The 13,487-nt window shown below is 40.5% G+C and overlaps 3 long non-coding RNA genes across 4 annotated transcripts in view; 2 read left to right on the plus strand and 1 right to left on the minus strand.

Moving 5' to 3' along the window:
* The window catches only part of LOC102724861 (uncharacterized), a 168,179-nt gene extending 165,356 nt beyond the window's left edge, over positions 1-2,823 (plus strand). For both annotated transcript variants that reach the window (NR_187737.1, NR_187736.1), the window contains one exon: positions 1,677-2,823. This is a non-coding gene — a long non-coding RNA (uncharacterized LOC102724861). The remainder of the gene's footprint in view (positions 1-1,676) is intronic.
* Positions 1-13,487, minus strand: part of LINC00607 (long intergenic non-protein coding RNA 607) — a 231,974-nt gene that overhangs the window by 100,001 nt on the left and 118,486 nt on the right. The gene's annotated exons all lie outside the window — the stretch shown is intronic.
* LINC01614 (long intergenic non-protein coding RNA 1614) lies at positions 6,480-9,383 on the plus strand. Its single transcript, NR_132383.1, has 2 exons — positions 6,480-6,699; positions 7,434-9,383. It is a non-coding gene; the product is annotated as a long intergenic non-protein coding RNA 1614 (long non-coding RNA).

Raw genomic sequence — 13,487 nt, forward strand, 5'->3', positions numbered from 1 at the left:
TCCAGAAGGAAAAGGAACTGTCTATGTGAGTTTCCTGCTAGATGTATTACAATACCACATTCCTTTGGAATTGGCTCACATTCTTGACCTAGTGGGAAATGGGAAATTCACCTAGTGAAGCAGAAACTAACATCTCCTAAAACTATCATCAAGGAGCCCTAAGTCCCCTTAGAATTCACTTCCAGAGTTTCCTCCATGTACTGGCCAAGGGCGTGCTTGACAAGAAACCAGACATGGGAAGTTCTCTGAGGTCCTGCTTTGTTTCTGTCAGATTACAAATTCCTAGAAGACAAGATCCATGTTTCTGCCTAAGTCTGTGTGCTTAGTAAATGCTTGATCACTTAGTTGGTGCTGTTAAGATTTTCTCAGACATTTGTCAAGCAAATACAGCCTTTCATGCAGTCAGGTACTTGTTTATGTGATCTGACTTCAAAGGCCAGAAGGGGGAAAAAAACTATTGTTCAATAATTCTCAGTTGATGAGTGAGAAACTCCTCAGCCCCCTACCTTCCTCTCCATGCAGCGATAAGACTTAAAATACAAACAATAGTCACTCTTTTCTTGTCTGTTAAATGTAAAATGTTTGCCTTGGAAGGTTGAGACTTCCCTAAATCACATAGAAAATAATTCTATTCAATTTGGATAATAAACATTTATTTATCCCCTTCTATTTGCAAGGCATGTACAGGTTTTTAGGGTGAGAGGGCCACCTACAAGTCTGGAGCTCATAGCCTAGAAAGCCTGAGGCTTGGTGGTGTGTATCCTGACTCAGCTGCTTCCTAGCTGTGTGACTTTAGGCAAATTAGTGAACTTCCCTGAGCCTGTCTGCCTGACATGTAATATGAGAATAATAATAATTCCCACTCACAGGACTGCTGTGAGGATTGATTAGATAACATCTGGACTTTACACAGACCTTTACCCACGGTCAGGACTTGATGATTGACACTATTATTACTGTTTTTATTGTTCTGGTATCTGCATTTGTTCTCCTTACTGTAATGACTGTTGAAAAAGCTTTCCTGAGATATTAGCAGCGATTAATCCCCTGGGTCAAACTGCATTTGCAGAGTAGCTGCTCAGTCATCTGTCTGGGCTCCAAAGACAAAAGACAGAAATTTTTGGCACTAGGGTCTAAACCTGGGAGGAAGCACACCATGCTGAACAGTGCTGGTGAAGGGTCACAGCCACTGGATATTAGGAAGGCTCTGGGTGTTGGGGTAAAGAAAGTACTAGAAGTCACTGAGGAGAGATCTATCGATGCTGCCCCTTCACTTAAGTCCAGCAAGAATCACTCTGGAACAAGGATTGTCAAATATAAGCACTTCCCCTACTCCTCTACTGAGTTCTGGAGGTTTGAGAGAAGCACAAATAGTTGCTTTGTGTCGTTTCTGCCACTGCCTCCTTCCTTTTTCTTGCTTACAGGGAATTCTGTAGGAGTGCAATTTGAGGTCAAAATACATAAGCATTTAAGACATTGCTTTGCTTCAAATCCTTGAATAAATATTAACTTATTCATCATCTCATTACCCCTGAGAGTTGGGAAAGCAGAGCCCAAATAGAGGTTAGAATGTTATAATCCCATCTATAAATTACAGTGCTTGTCATATTTACTAAATGAAAGCTTTAAGGTTTTAAGAAGCTTTTCTAAATGTGATCTCTCCATCCCTATCATAGGATTTGCTCAAAATGGATTTGCAAAGAGAAAAAAAATTTAATGTCACACTGCCATGATAAGTCAACCAACCATCTCATATATCAAAGGAGAGAGGCAGAGAAAGAAAAGGAGGAGGATAAAGAAGAGGAGGAAGAGGACGAAAGGAAAACCAAGAGGAGGAGAAGCCACTTCTTACTTTGGATTAATGTGAAACTAAATAGTTTACTACATTTTAAGTGGGAAAATGTTAGTTGAAAAGATATTTGTCAACCACAAACATTTGAAAGGGAAGCATTCCAAAGATTTTCACTGTTTATGTTCAAATTACAACATGTGCAGAAAGTTGTGCAACTGAAAATCCTTTCAAACAACAGCTACAAAAGAGATTGGTCAGTTAGGACAGGAATAGAAAGTGGAAACTTAGAAGACTGGCTACTCCTTGTGTATGATTGCTGGGGTGAGTCTGTGCTGAGAACTTTTTACAAAGGGTGTCCTTTGCTGATATGAGAGGGGGGTGTCAAACTTTTGAGTGATCACTGTGGGTCCTCAGCTTAGACATCTTCTCTGGCCCAAGATGGCACCCCTTGCTCTCTTTCCATGGGACACAGGGACCTTGCCATCCTTCCATCTTATAAGCCTTCTGTCATGATTTTTACTTCATCCTAGATAGCCTTAATTTGGGCCAGGTCTCCAGGTTCCTCCACTTTCTTCTGTCCCATCCATACCCCTCACCAATCCTCTGTAAATTCCTTTCCAGGATTTTACTGAGAACTACAGAGAAACAGGCTGGGAATAACAAACATGGGGAGTTATGTAGTTAACATACACTTTGACATCACCTAGTCATTTTCCTGAGTATATAGATAACTCTGTTATTACTGGTTATAAGGTCCATGAGAAGCCTTTATCCTTTTCTGGAAACCAAGAAAGCACCTGCCCTCCCTCAGTCCTAAGGGGAGAATCTTTATGGGTGTAACAATAAAATGGATAATGGGAAATTCTGATGTCCTCAAGCATACATTCAGATGTCCCCAATGAGCATCATTTGTATATCAAGGGAACTCCAGAGAGATGATCCACAATTCAGTGTGTCCCTTTGGCCAGTAGAGAGGTCACCTTAGTCTGGAAATAATGATGATATAATGTTAAAGAAACCTAACTAAACAAGTCCTTTTTCTCTATCCTATGTAATGTTTTATATCTGACCTCACAGAAAACCAGCCTTACTGTTTTGTACTCTCTCTGCAGCTGGGTAGGTAAACAGAAATTGAGGCTCCAGGCTGCCTGGTGGTTCACAATGATGGTGCTTTTCAAAGTCCTTCGGATGGACAGGGAACTGGTTTCCCCACCACCATTTCTGACTGGCACTTCCCCACCTTCCCTGAACAGATGATGCAGTGAACCCTGTGAGGTTTCCAGCCTTCAGGAAACTGTTCCAAGGCCATCAAGGAATAGGGAGATGCAACTGGAACACTCTATATCCCAAGAAGACAGCCCTCCGAGAGTGACCACATGGTCCTCTCCCAACATCCTAACTCTCCCCTTTCACTCTTTCCACATCTTCTTTGCCTTTAGAGCTCTGCCTCATTTAGTATTTCTGATTCTATCCCCCTTCCCCTGGATGCCCAGTTGCTGGTTCCTTTCCCGTATATTTCAAATTCTGGAGGCTCAGGCTGAAAGCCAGTAGCTTTCATGTCTGCTCATAGAGAAGAATGGGATTTAGACTCAAAAGAAGAGTGGGTACAGGTGCAGTGGCTCACACGTGCAATCCCAGCACTTTGGGAAGCTGAAGCGGGCAGATCACCTGAGGTCAGGAGTTCAAGACCAGCCTGGCCAACATGATTAAACCCCATCTCTACTAAAAATACCAAAAAATTAGCAGGGCGTGGTGGTGGGTGTCTGTAATCTCAGCTACTCGGAAGGCTGAGGTAGGAGAATCACTTGAACCCAAGAGGTGGAGGTTGCAGTGAGCCAAGATTGTGCCACTGCACTCCAGCCTGGGTGACAGAGCTAGACTTTGTCTCAAAAAAAAAAAAAAAAAAAAAAAAGAGTGAGCTCTGGTTCTGTAGATGAAAGAGATTAATGCGGGCAATGCCCCAGGATGGGGTTGGATTTCTCTCACCAAACCTACAATTATGCACAGTTCATAACCATAGGGAGTCATTTCCTAATGAAGATTATGTCATTAACACCATCTGAAGAATGTGTATGCCTCCTATTTACACGACTTTGACCCTGTTTGGGGAAAATGATCATCAAGCCTTCTATTATGCTGAGTCTGAATTGAAGCCCTCCATGACTTGGTGTCTCCAATAAGTCTTCTCACATTCATGAAAAATGAATGTGCAAGCCCGAACCACATCTCTAATCCAAAGCTTTCTCACTTGACACTAGTTACCTTTTACTAGCCACAATTACAAGAATAAGAGCAAGCATGCATTATCTTGCTTCAGCCTCACAATAATTCCACAAGGAAGGTATCCCCATTTCTTGAGAAGGACATTGAACTTAGAGAGGTTATGTCACTTGCTCAAAGTCACACAACTTTGCCAAGGTGGATCTAATTAGAAGCCAGATCCATCTGATTGTGTTTTCTCTGGTATGTTCCATGGTGCCATTGACAACACCGTGGCACAAGGGCACCACTTGCCCTGTCACACCTGAGACAGGCATTACAAGTTGATCATGACACTTCTCTCTGGAGCTAGTCTGTGTTTACCTGCAGAATGCTCATCAACAGCCCCTGTGGGTTGATCAGAGTCATTATGTTGGGTTGTTATGTAGTTTGCAATCTCTGTCTCAGGCCATTCCTCCACCAGATCACTTCAGCATCAGTACCACTACTTATCTCCTAATGGAGACACATCACCCCAGGCAAATCATCACATGTCTCTGAGAGTGGCTTTCCTGGTCAAAAATCTATCATGATAGCTAAGAGGAACATTTGTCTGCGTCTTAGAAAAAGCCTTAGCTACCTCCTCAAAGATTTGGCAATAGGACGTTTCTACTGAAGATAAAAAAAAATGAAACTTGTAGCAGCTCAACTGTCCTTGGTCACTACTTTTAGCTCTAAACACACACACACACACATATACACACACACACACTCACACACTCCATTGCTCCTGCTTCTGCTCACACCTTGCACATGAATTCAGAGGGCAGGTGAATCACATCACTCTTACTAAAATCCACTCCATGCCCAGAGTGTCATTACACTTTAAGAGACCTCAGTGAAGGCAGTAAATGTCAACCCCATTAGTCTTTCCTTGCAGAAAGAATGACTGAGGCCCAGACAGGCAGGGGAGTTCCATATCACCACTCTCAGCTACTGATAGAGGCCATAGCAAAATGTAAGGCTCCCAGCACAGGGCCTTCTTCTTCTTCCATAAAATGCACCACCTTGGACAGTCAAAAGAAGTAATTTAACTTCCACTTTTTTCAAAAAACATGAAAACTCAACACTCCCATCACTGATGCAGGGAACTACGTAAAAACTTTGTCCTCTTCTGAATTGAAAGATATCATAGTAAAACTAATGCCCAATGTCCAAGATGTTGCTCCTTGATATTTAAAGTTCATGGGTCATTCTAGCAAAATTGATGCCATATAGTCTTGATTTGTATATTTTAAAATTTTATCACTGTGTTGCTTTCTCAACAATTACTTGATATTCAAGTTTTTTTTTCATTTTGCTTAAATAAGTAGATGAAGTCTTTCCCCCTTAAAAATAGGAAGGCAAGCGAGGCCAGGACTAGGTGTCCTTGGACACCAAATGCTGGAATGGCGTCACACATAGATGGCAAATAGGGTTTTAGTATGGCCAAGTTGACTATTTCCACTTGTGTTCCAGCTGCCATGCCACACCACCTCACCTCTGCCCATCCGCCCCCAGATCTTCGGTGGTGGTGAGCGGGAAGAAGGCTGATCTCATGTGTCTACCAGAGATGTTACTCATAAACGCCCTCATAATTCCCAGATGCTCTCATACTTTCTATGGGATAATACACTATGTCTCTTTTGAGCCAACACCCTAATTCTGCAAATGATATTCACTGGTGCCTTGAGCAGGAGGCAAAGGGGCCCACAAAATTCTCTCATAAGACCAAGACATTAGGTCCAGGAGGAGCAAACCTGCCTTCCAGCCAAACACTCAGACCACCTCACACTCAGTAGAGTCTGAGAAATCATCTTGAGGAGCTCAGGTGGAAGACGCTTCCCTTGTTAAAAAATAAAGCACACAGAAAAACCTTCAAAACTCTTGTTAATATGATGTGGATCAAGATCTATAGCAGATGAATAAGGAAAGAACTGGCCTAGTGCTGCCAAATTCTTTCTAAAACTGGGATTCTTTTCAGTTCTGGGGCAGATAGAGTTGCATTGGAAGAGAATTTGACCTATTGAAAAATAACAGTTTTATGATGCTTTCCTATAAGTCTAGACTAGCAAGTGGGCCAGTTCTAAAAATGTCCTTGTATTTATGCCTTAAGAGATATTCATCTACATCGTAGGGTTTTTGGAACAAAGAGAACGGTTTCCTTTTTCTATAAAGTTTGGCGTCATTATTATTTTGAAAGATAACCATGCTCACCCATTGCCAAATGACGGCTGAGTTATGCTCTCTCTATATTTTTTAAAGAATTCGCTTTTGAAAAGAAGGTGGAGGTGGCTGGGGAGGAGAGGGTAATCCACGTCCTGTCACTCACTCCCTTCCAGGCTGTGAGAAAGTTGTGGGCCTGGGAACTTACAGTTTGTTTTCTATAATTCCATCTGGTTTGAGACCAAAAAGGACATATTTGTGGAGAACAGACCACAGTCTGAGAGGGAAAAGGGCTGAGGGGGTAGAGGTATAAAAATCAGATAGCTCAGCACTTCGCTCCAAAGGAGCTGAAGGAGAGAGGATTCCACTGCGTGTATGTTTTCTCTTTCACGTCTCACTTTTGTTCTCTGCCATCAGGAAATGCAGTAGACATTTGTCACCAGCAGCTCTTTGGAGACTTCAATGTTCCTTCCTCCCAGGATCCGAAAGGGGACTTCAGACACGTAAGAGTCATATTTTGCAAACCAGCAGAATTTTTGTGCAGTGTTTATCAGACAAGTGAGAGGCTGTGAAGGCAGACTTTGGGAAATAGTTTTAACAGTTCATAAATCAGATGTAATTGAAAAGGAGAGGATCTCCTTTTTGAGAGCCATGAAAACCTTTCTTTTGTAATCTCCTTACTGGGGCAGAATTGTAATGTGTACAAGGGCCGGGGGTCTAATGAAGTCAGGTTGCCTTGGGTCACTCAAGGTAATTTGTTTTTTTTCTGGCCAAATCATGAAACAGAACTGCATTCTGCTCCCTGTTACATTTATATGATAGCATCTCTTTTGATATTGTCAAGTGTGTTATGCCAGGTTGCATAGCATTACCGATAACAAAATTCTTTGGAAAATTGTTTTTTTTTTTTTTTTTTTCACACACCAAATAGCAGCAGCTGAAATCAGTTGGAGTTCTTGGCTGGCCAGGAAGTAAAAAGTGCTTTTCATATAAAATTCCTAAGAAACCCTAGAAACATGATGCAAAGCATTTGTACCCCTTTTACTTTCAAACTAGTAGAATTTATGTGACTTTTGAAAATTATATTTGTTATACTGATAAAAATGCAGTTTCATATGAAGAGTAGGAGACCCTAAAGGGACTTGCCTAAGATTTTCATTTGAATTTAGTACATTATGAGTTGTCATAGTATAAGAGGATTGGAGGTTTGGAGGATTGATAGTGTTCTTAACTTCAGGGAGAATCTAAGACACCAGGAGCTCAGAAGAATGGAGTCTCAAGACATCAGGCAAATACCGAAGAGATCAGAGCCAAGTTCTAAAGGGCAGCCATTTCCCAAATGTCAACCAAGAGCGAAGCCAAGAGAATTATGATTTCCTGGCTATACAATGACAGGAAAAGCTTGATCAAAGCTGGAGTGCAAGTTAAAAAGTGTAAGGTACTCAAGTGCTAGGGTCTGTGTCCAAGCCCAATCAATTGATCATTAGTTGTTTTTAACTTCAACGTTTCTTTTGCAACAGCACCTCTTCCTTAAAGTAGCAATCTTAGCAGACTGCCACCTTACATGATGCATCTTATTCTCCAAGGACAATGAAGACTGAACTATCGCACATTACCTAAGAAAGATGGGAATTGACATGCACATCACAATTGTATACACAACAGAAATTATTGAATCATGAGATATACATTCCGGTGTGTGACAGATTGGCACATGACATAATCTGGGTTCTTTATAGACTCAGTTGTTTTGGGGCGATCTAGATTATCAAGAGAAGAGCCTTCATGCTTAGCTTTATCTTGTACCAACCACCAGGGCCCTTGCTTCTGAGCAGGAAGCAGCTGGGGAATAGGCTCTTTCTCTTAATGACTTCCAACATAGTTCTCTCAAACCTTACTCCTCCAGAAGGCCACCCTCACCTGGCTATGGCTACTTCAGAAAAAACTTGGCCTCTGGTATAATAGAGCAGAATCACCACCTCACATTCTATTTCAAGCCAAAGTCAATATCTCAAAGGCTGGTTCTGTGATTTATTTGGCCCTTGGGAGCTCCTACTGAAAGTGCTGAAATGTCGTACTGACACTTCAGACTTATAGCTACCTAGACTCCAAGTAAGATTTATCTCTGACTGGAGGGTTTCTCCTATTAAAAACCAAAGAGTGTAGGGTGCCTTCACCTGCTAGGTAATCTTCTATGCCCTAATGGGAAGAATGGGAGCAGCAGACAAGTAAGTTCAGGAAGGAGAACCAAAGCTGTGTCCATGCCCTTGAGGAAAGAGAAATTGGACCAGACAAGTTCAGTGGAAACTTTCTAATGGATCCATCAACTTCATCTTGTCTAAGCAGAGTCATAGCTAGAAGTGTGACTGAAATAGGAGAACCACGTCCAGGGGTTCAGGGGGGATTCCTCTGAAATCGCAGCTGGAAGCATTTCGTAATAGTTCTGGTACTGCACCCATAGATACTGTCACCTCTACTCTTTCTTCCAATCACCATTAGCAGATGCCACAGGATTCCTACTTCTGAAAGTTTTTGGGCCCTGCAGGTGGAAGACTGGAGAAGCCAATAAAGTTTAAGGCTACATTTTATTCCATCCACAAATTTGGTGAAGGAGGAAATGTTTACAATTCTGCCATGCCATGAATAGGAGTTTTCCACCGGGTGTACACTGCTGTTAACAAGGTGTAAATACTTGTCCAGTAAAGAGACCGTACGGTACTGCTGATGGACGTCCCAACACAATGCCAGATGCAAAAACTTCTTTGGTGATTGCTTTTGATAACACTGAGTGGCTAAAGGTCTTCTTTCACATCTTTGCCCACCTCAAATCCTGAAGGCAAGGTCTCTGGAATTTGAGGCTGTGCCCTCACATGCCTCCAAGGCACCAACAAAGCAAAATGAAGAGTCTGCACTGCTTATCAGTTGACCCAACACTCAGTCCACATTGGAGGGGAAGGGGTGGTGGGCTGAGGATGTCTTCTTCCTGTCCAGGATGCAATATGGTCAAGGATGAAAGGAAAGAGATGCTGGGAGCAAGTCTGCATTGAAGATGTATTTCTGTTGCTTTACTACCAACCCTGGTTATAAATGATGAAACTATAATGGGTCTGTAATAGCTACTTTCCCATATAGCTCTTGTCTGTACATACATAAAATTAAAAATAATAGAATACTTCCATTACTAACATGTGGTGACAAGCATTCTTCATTTACCATTTTTATTCCAAAAACATGATTTAACATTTTAAAAACCAAGATCTGTTCGGTAAATCAGATAATAGGGTAAACTATAGTTTACCCTATCTTACAGCCAGTTAGATAAATGATTATTGTGAAAAGAAAATTGTTAGCATTGTAAATAATGCTTCTTATATGAATACTAAACAGTCTATTGGAAAACACCATGGTTGTTGGTTTAGAATCAGCTTCTTTGGCTGGGCACCGTGGCTCACATCTGTAATCCCAACACTTTGAGAGGACAAAGCGGGTGGATCACCTGAGGTCAGGAGTTCGAGACCAGCCTGACCAACATGGTGAAACCCTGTCTCTACTAAAAATACAAAATTAGCCACGCGTGGTGGCACATGCCTCTAATCCCAGCTACTCGGGAGGCTGAGGCAGGAGAATTGCTTGAACCTGGGAGGCAGAGGTTGCAGATCACACCATTGCACTCCAGCCTGGGCAACAAGAGTGGGCATTTTTAGGTTGGTTCCAAGTCTTTGCTATTGTGTGTGTGTGTGTGTGTGTGTATATATATATAGATCATCATATATATATATATATAGATCATATATATATATAGATCATATATATATGATCTATATATATACACACACACACACACACACACACAATAGCAAAGACTTGGAACCAACCTAAAAATGCCCATCAATGATAGATTGGATAAAGAAAATGTGGCACATACAGACCATGGAATACTATGCAGCCATAAAAAAGAATGAGTTCATGTCCTTTGCAGGGACATGGATGAAGCCAGAAGCTATCATTCTTAGCAAACTAACACAGGAACAGAAAAGCAAACACTGCATGTTCTCACTCATAAGTGGGAGTTGAACAATGAGAACACATGGAAACATGGAGAGGAACATCACACAATGGGGCCTGTCAGGGAGTCGGGGGAGGGAGAGCATCAGGGCAAATATCTAATGCATGCAGGGCTTAAAACCTAGATGACGGGTTGATAGGTGCAGCAAATGACATGGCACATGTGTACCTATGTAACAAACCTGCATGTTCCGCACATGTATCCCAGAACTTAAAGTAAAATAAAAATGTTTTAAAATAAAAATTAAAAAATAATAGAATCAGCTTTTTCAAATCCATAATATTTGGATTTTATTTTTGCCTGAAACTTTCTTAGTCAATAATAATTCAGTTTTTACCATGCTTTAAAAGGGACTCCATTACAAACTCTCTTAGAGTCTTCCTTATGCCTTACATGGCATAGTGAGTCAGTGATTTTTTTTTTCTTCCATGGCGTTAGAGAAGAGGCTAAGGGAAAGTATCTGTAACTTTTCACGGCAGCATCTTTAACCTTCTGCTAAATCCTGGGCTGCCAGCTGGCAAGGCCTAGTACTCTTCAGTCCTGCAAAGAATCACGTATGTGTCACTGAAGGTAGACTTAAGTTCTTCTGTTTTAACCTGAATCATCTGCAGAAGCAAACAGCAAAGTGCATCACCCCTGTTAAAGCGGCTGGCAGTACGAGCCACAAGGTAAAAATTATGAAGAAGTGTCCCTCTTTGTCCCTTCACCGAGAACATAGCGTCCAATGCTGTTTCCAAAGCTCCTTAGCCACCTCCACTTCTGTCCCCTTTCAAAGGATCTTCCAAACCACCCCCAACCCAGGTCTGGATTTAGATCTGCTCTTTCTGTACAGCAGCTCATGTTCCAAACCAGTAATTCATAGATATGATTCATTTGATTACAACCTTCACTATTTTTACCCATAATACTTCTACTGTTATTTCCTAATATAATACCTTAATATCACTACTATAATTAAAATTCTAATATAACTTTTCATAATTAAAAGGTAACCATACAAATAAACTGAATAAAAAATAATGCCATTAAAATTTAAGCGGATACTATTGCCTGCTAAAAGCTCTGAGCCTAAGGCCTGTTTCTGTTTTTTTTAAAAGGGTGGTTAATATGTGCTACGTTAAAGATGCACTCACATCAAATTGAGACTTCTCTTAATCTATTCAGAAGGACTGAAAGAGAAGGCAAAAGAAAATCTCTCATCTTGTGTGATTCCATTTTAGTTAACACCACATTGGTTTTATTAAACCCCACTCAAGATCATCTTAGATTTAGAATCATCTTGTGAGTCCTAGTTTATGGGAAACAAGATAAGCCAGCATTTCTCAAAATGTGGGTTTTGGACAGTCTGCAAGAGATAACCTAGCACCAGATTAACATGCAAATCCCCTGGCTTCTGAGACTTCTGAGATAGGTCTTAGGAAATCTGTATTTTTAACACATTTCTCAGGTATTACTTATACACACAAATATTTGAAAACCATGAGTCCAGATTTGTCGTTTTCAAACATTAGCCAAGGGATCCTTTCTTCCAATAAAATCCTTCACAGAAACTAAGATAAAAAGCAGGTAAGAATAGAGTCCTCTAGTTGAATCAGGAAGGTGGGGCAGAGAGCAGAGTTGTGATTTCACCTTCTCATGACCCTTCTCATGGCATACGGACATTTCTCATGGTAAAATAAAATAGTTAATTAACATACTAGAAAATATTCAGCCTCATAATAATCAAATGCAAACAAAATAAAAGATAAGATCTTATTTTTTTACTCATAAATTAGCAAAGGTATTTTGAATGATAGTGTAAATAAGGACTAACTAGAATGTTATAACCAATATTCTTATATGCAGAAAAGCAAATGAGTACCACCTTTCTGGATGTACTTTAAAATATTTATGTTTTCTTTTAATGCAATACTCTACTCTCTATGAATTTATTATGCAGAAATGGTGTGAAATTCAGGCAGATTTATGCACAGTTCCGGAACTAGACAGTGGTGATAGTTGCATAACACTGTGAATATACTTAATGCCATGGAATTGAATGGCTTCAAATGGTTACAATGCTAAATTTTATGTTGCATATTTTACCACAGTATACACAAAGAATTATGCAAAAATATGCATTTCATTATTATTTATGATAAGAATTTAAAACTGGCAGGGCGCGATGGCTCAGGCCTGTAATCCCAGCACTTTGGGAGGCCAAGGCGGGTGGATCACCTGAGGTTGGGAGATCGAGACCAACCTGACCAACATGAAGAAACCCCATCTCTATTAAAAATACAAAACGAGCCAGACGTGGTGGTGCGTGCCTGTAATCCAAGCCACTCGGGGAGGCTGAGACAGGAGAATCGCTTGAACCCGGGATGCAGAGGTTGCGATGAGCCGAGATTGTGCCATTGCACTCCAGCCTGGGCAACAAGAGCAAAACTCTGTCTCCAAAAAACAAAAACAAACAAACAAAAAAGAATTTAAAACTGCTGAATACCCAACATTAGTCATTGCCACATTATGGTGTTTTTGGAAAATTCTTGTGATATATATACACTTACTTATGTGAAAAAAAAAAAAACAGGATGTGAAACTATATCCACAATATTACCTCAGCCATTTCTTTAAAAATAGAATAATCTAGATAGAAATATGTCAAATATTACCTGTAATGGAGCCTAGAAGAGTAGTAGAATTATTAACACCTCTTCCTTTCTCTTCTACTTTGAGAAGCTTTCCAAAATTTGCTAAAATTAGCACTTTCTTAAAACATGAGATTTTTGTGTGTGTGATTTTTAAATTTTAGCTTATTAGCTATCATTAGTGTTAGTGTATTTTATGTGTGGCCCAAGACAATTCTTCTTCTTCTAGTGTAGCCCAGAAAAGCCTAAAGATTGGACAACCCTGCTCTACTACCTCTTAAAAAAATAGAAAAAAAAAAAAAATAGGAAGAAAGCGCATTCTTTTCTTATTGCTGCTTTATTTTTTTTCCATAAGTTATTAGGGCACAAGTGGTATTTGGTTACATGAGTAAGTTCTTTAGTGGTCATTAGTGAGATCCTGGTGCACCCATCGCCCGAGCAGTATATACTGCACCATATATGTTGTCTTTTATCCCTTTTAGCCCCTCTCCCACTCTTCCCCCCAAGTTCCCAAAGTCCATCGTATCATTCTTACGCCTTTGTGTCCTCATAGCTTAGCTCCACATATCAGTGAGAACATACAATGTTTGGTTTT

Source organism: Homo sapiens, chromosome 2 (assembly GCF_000001405.40).
Source record: "Homo sapiens chromosome 2, GRCh38.p14 Primary Assembly".
Lineage (NCBI taxonomy): Eukaryota > Metazoa > Chordata > Mammalia > Primates > Hominidae > Homo > Homo sapiens.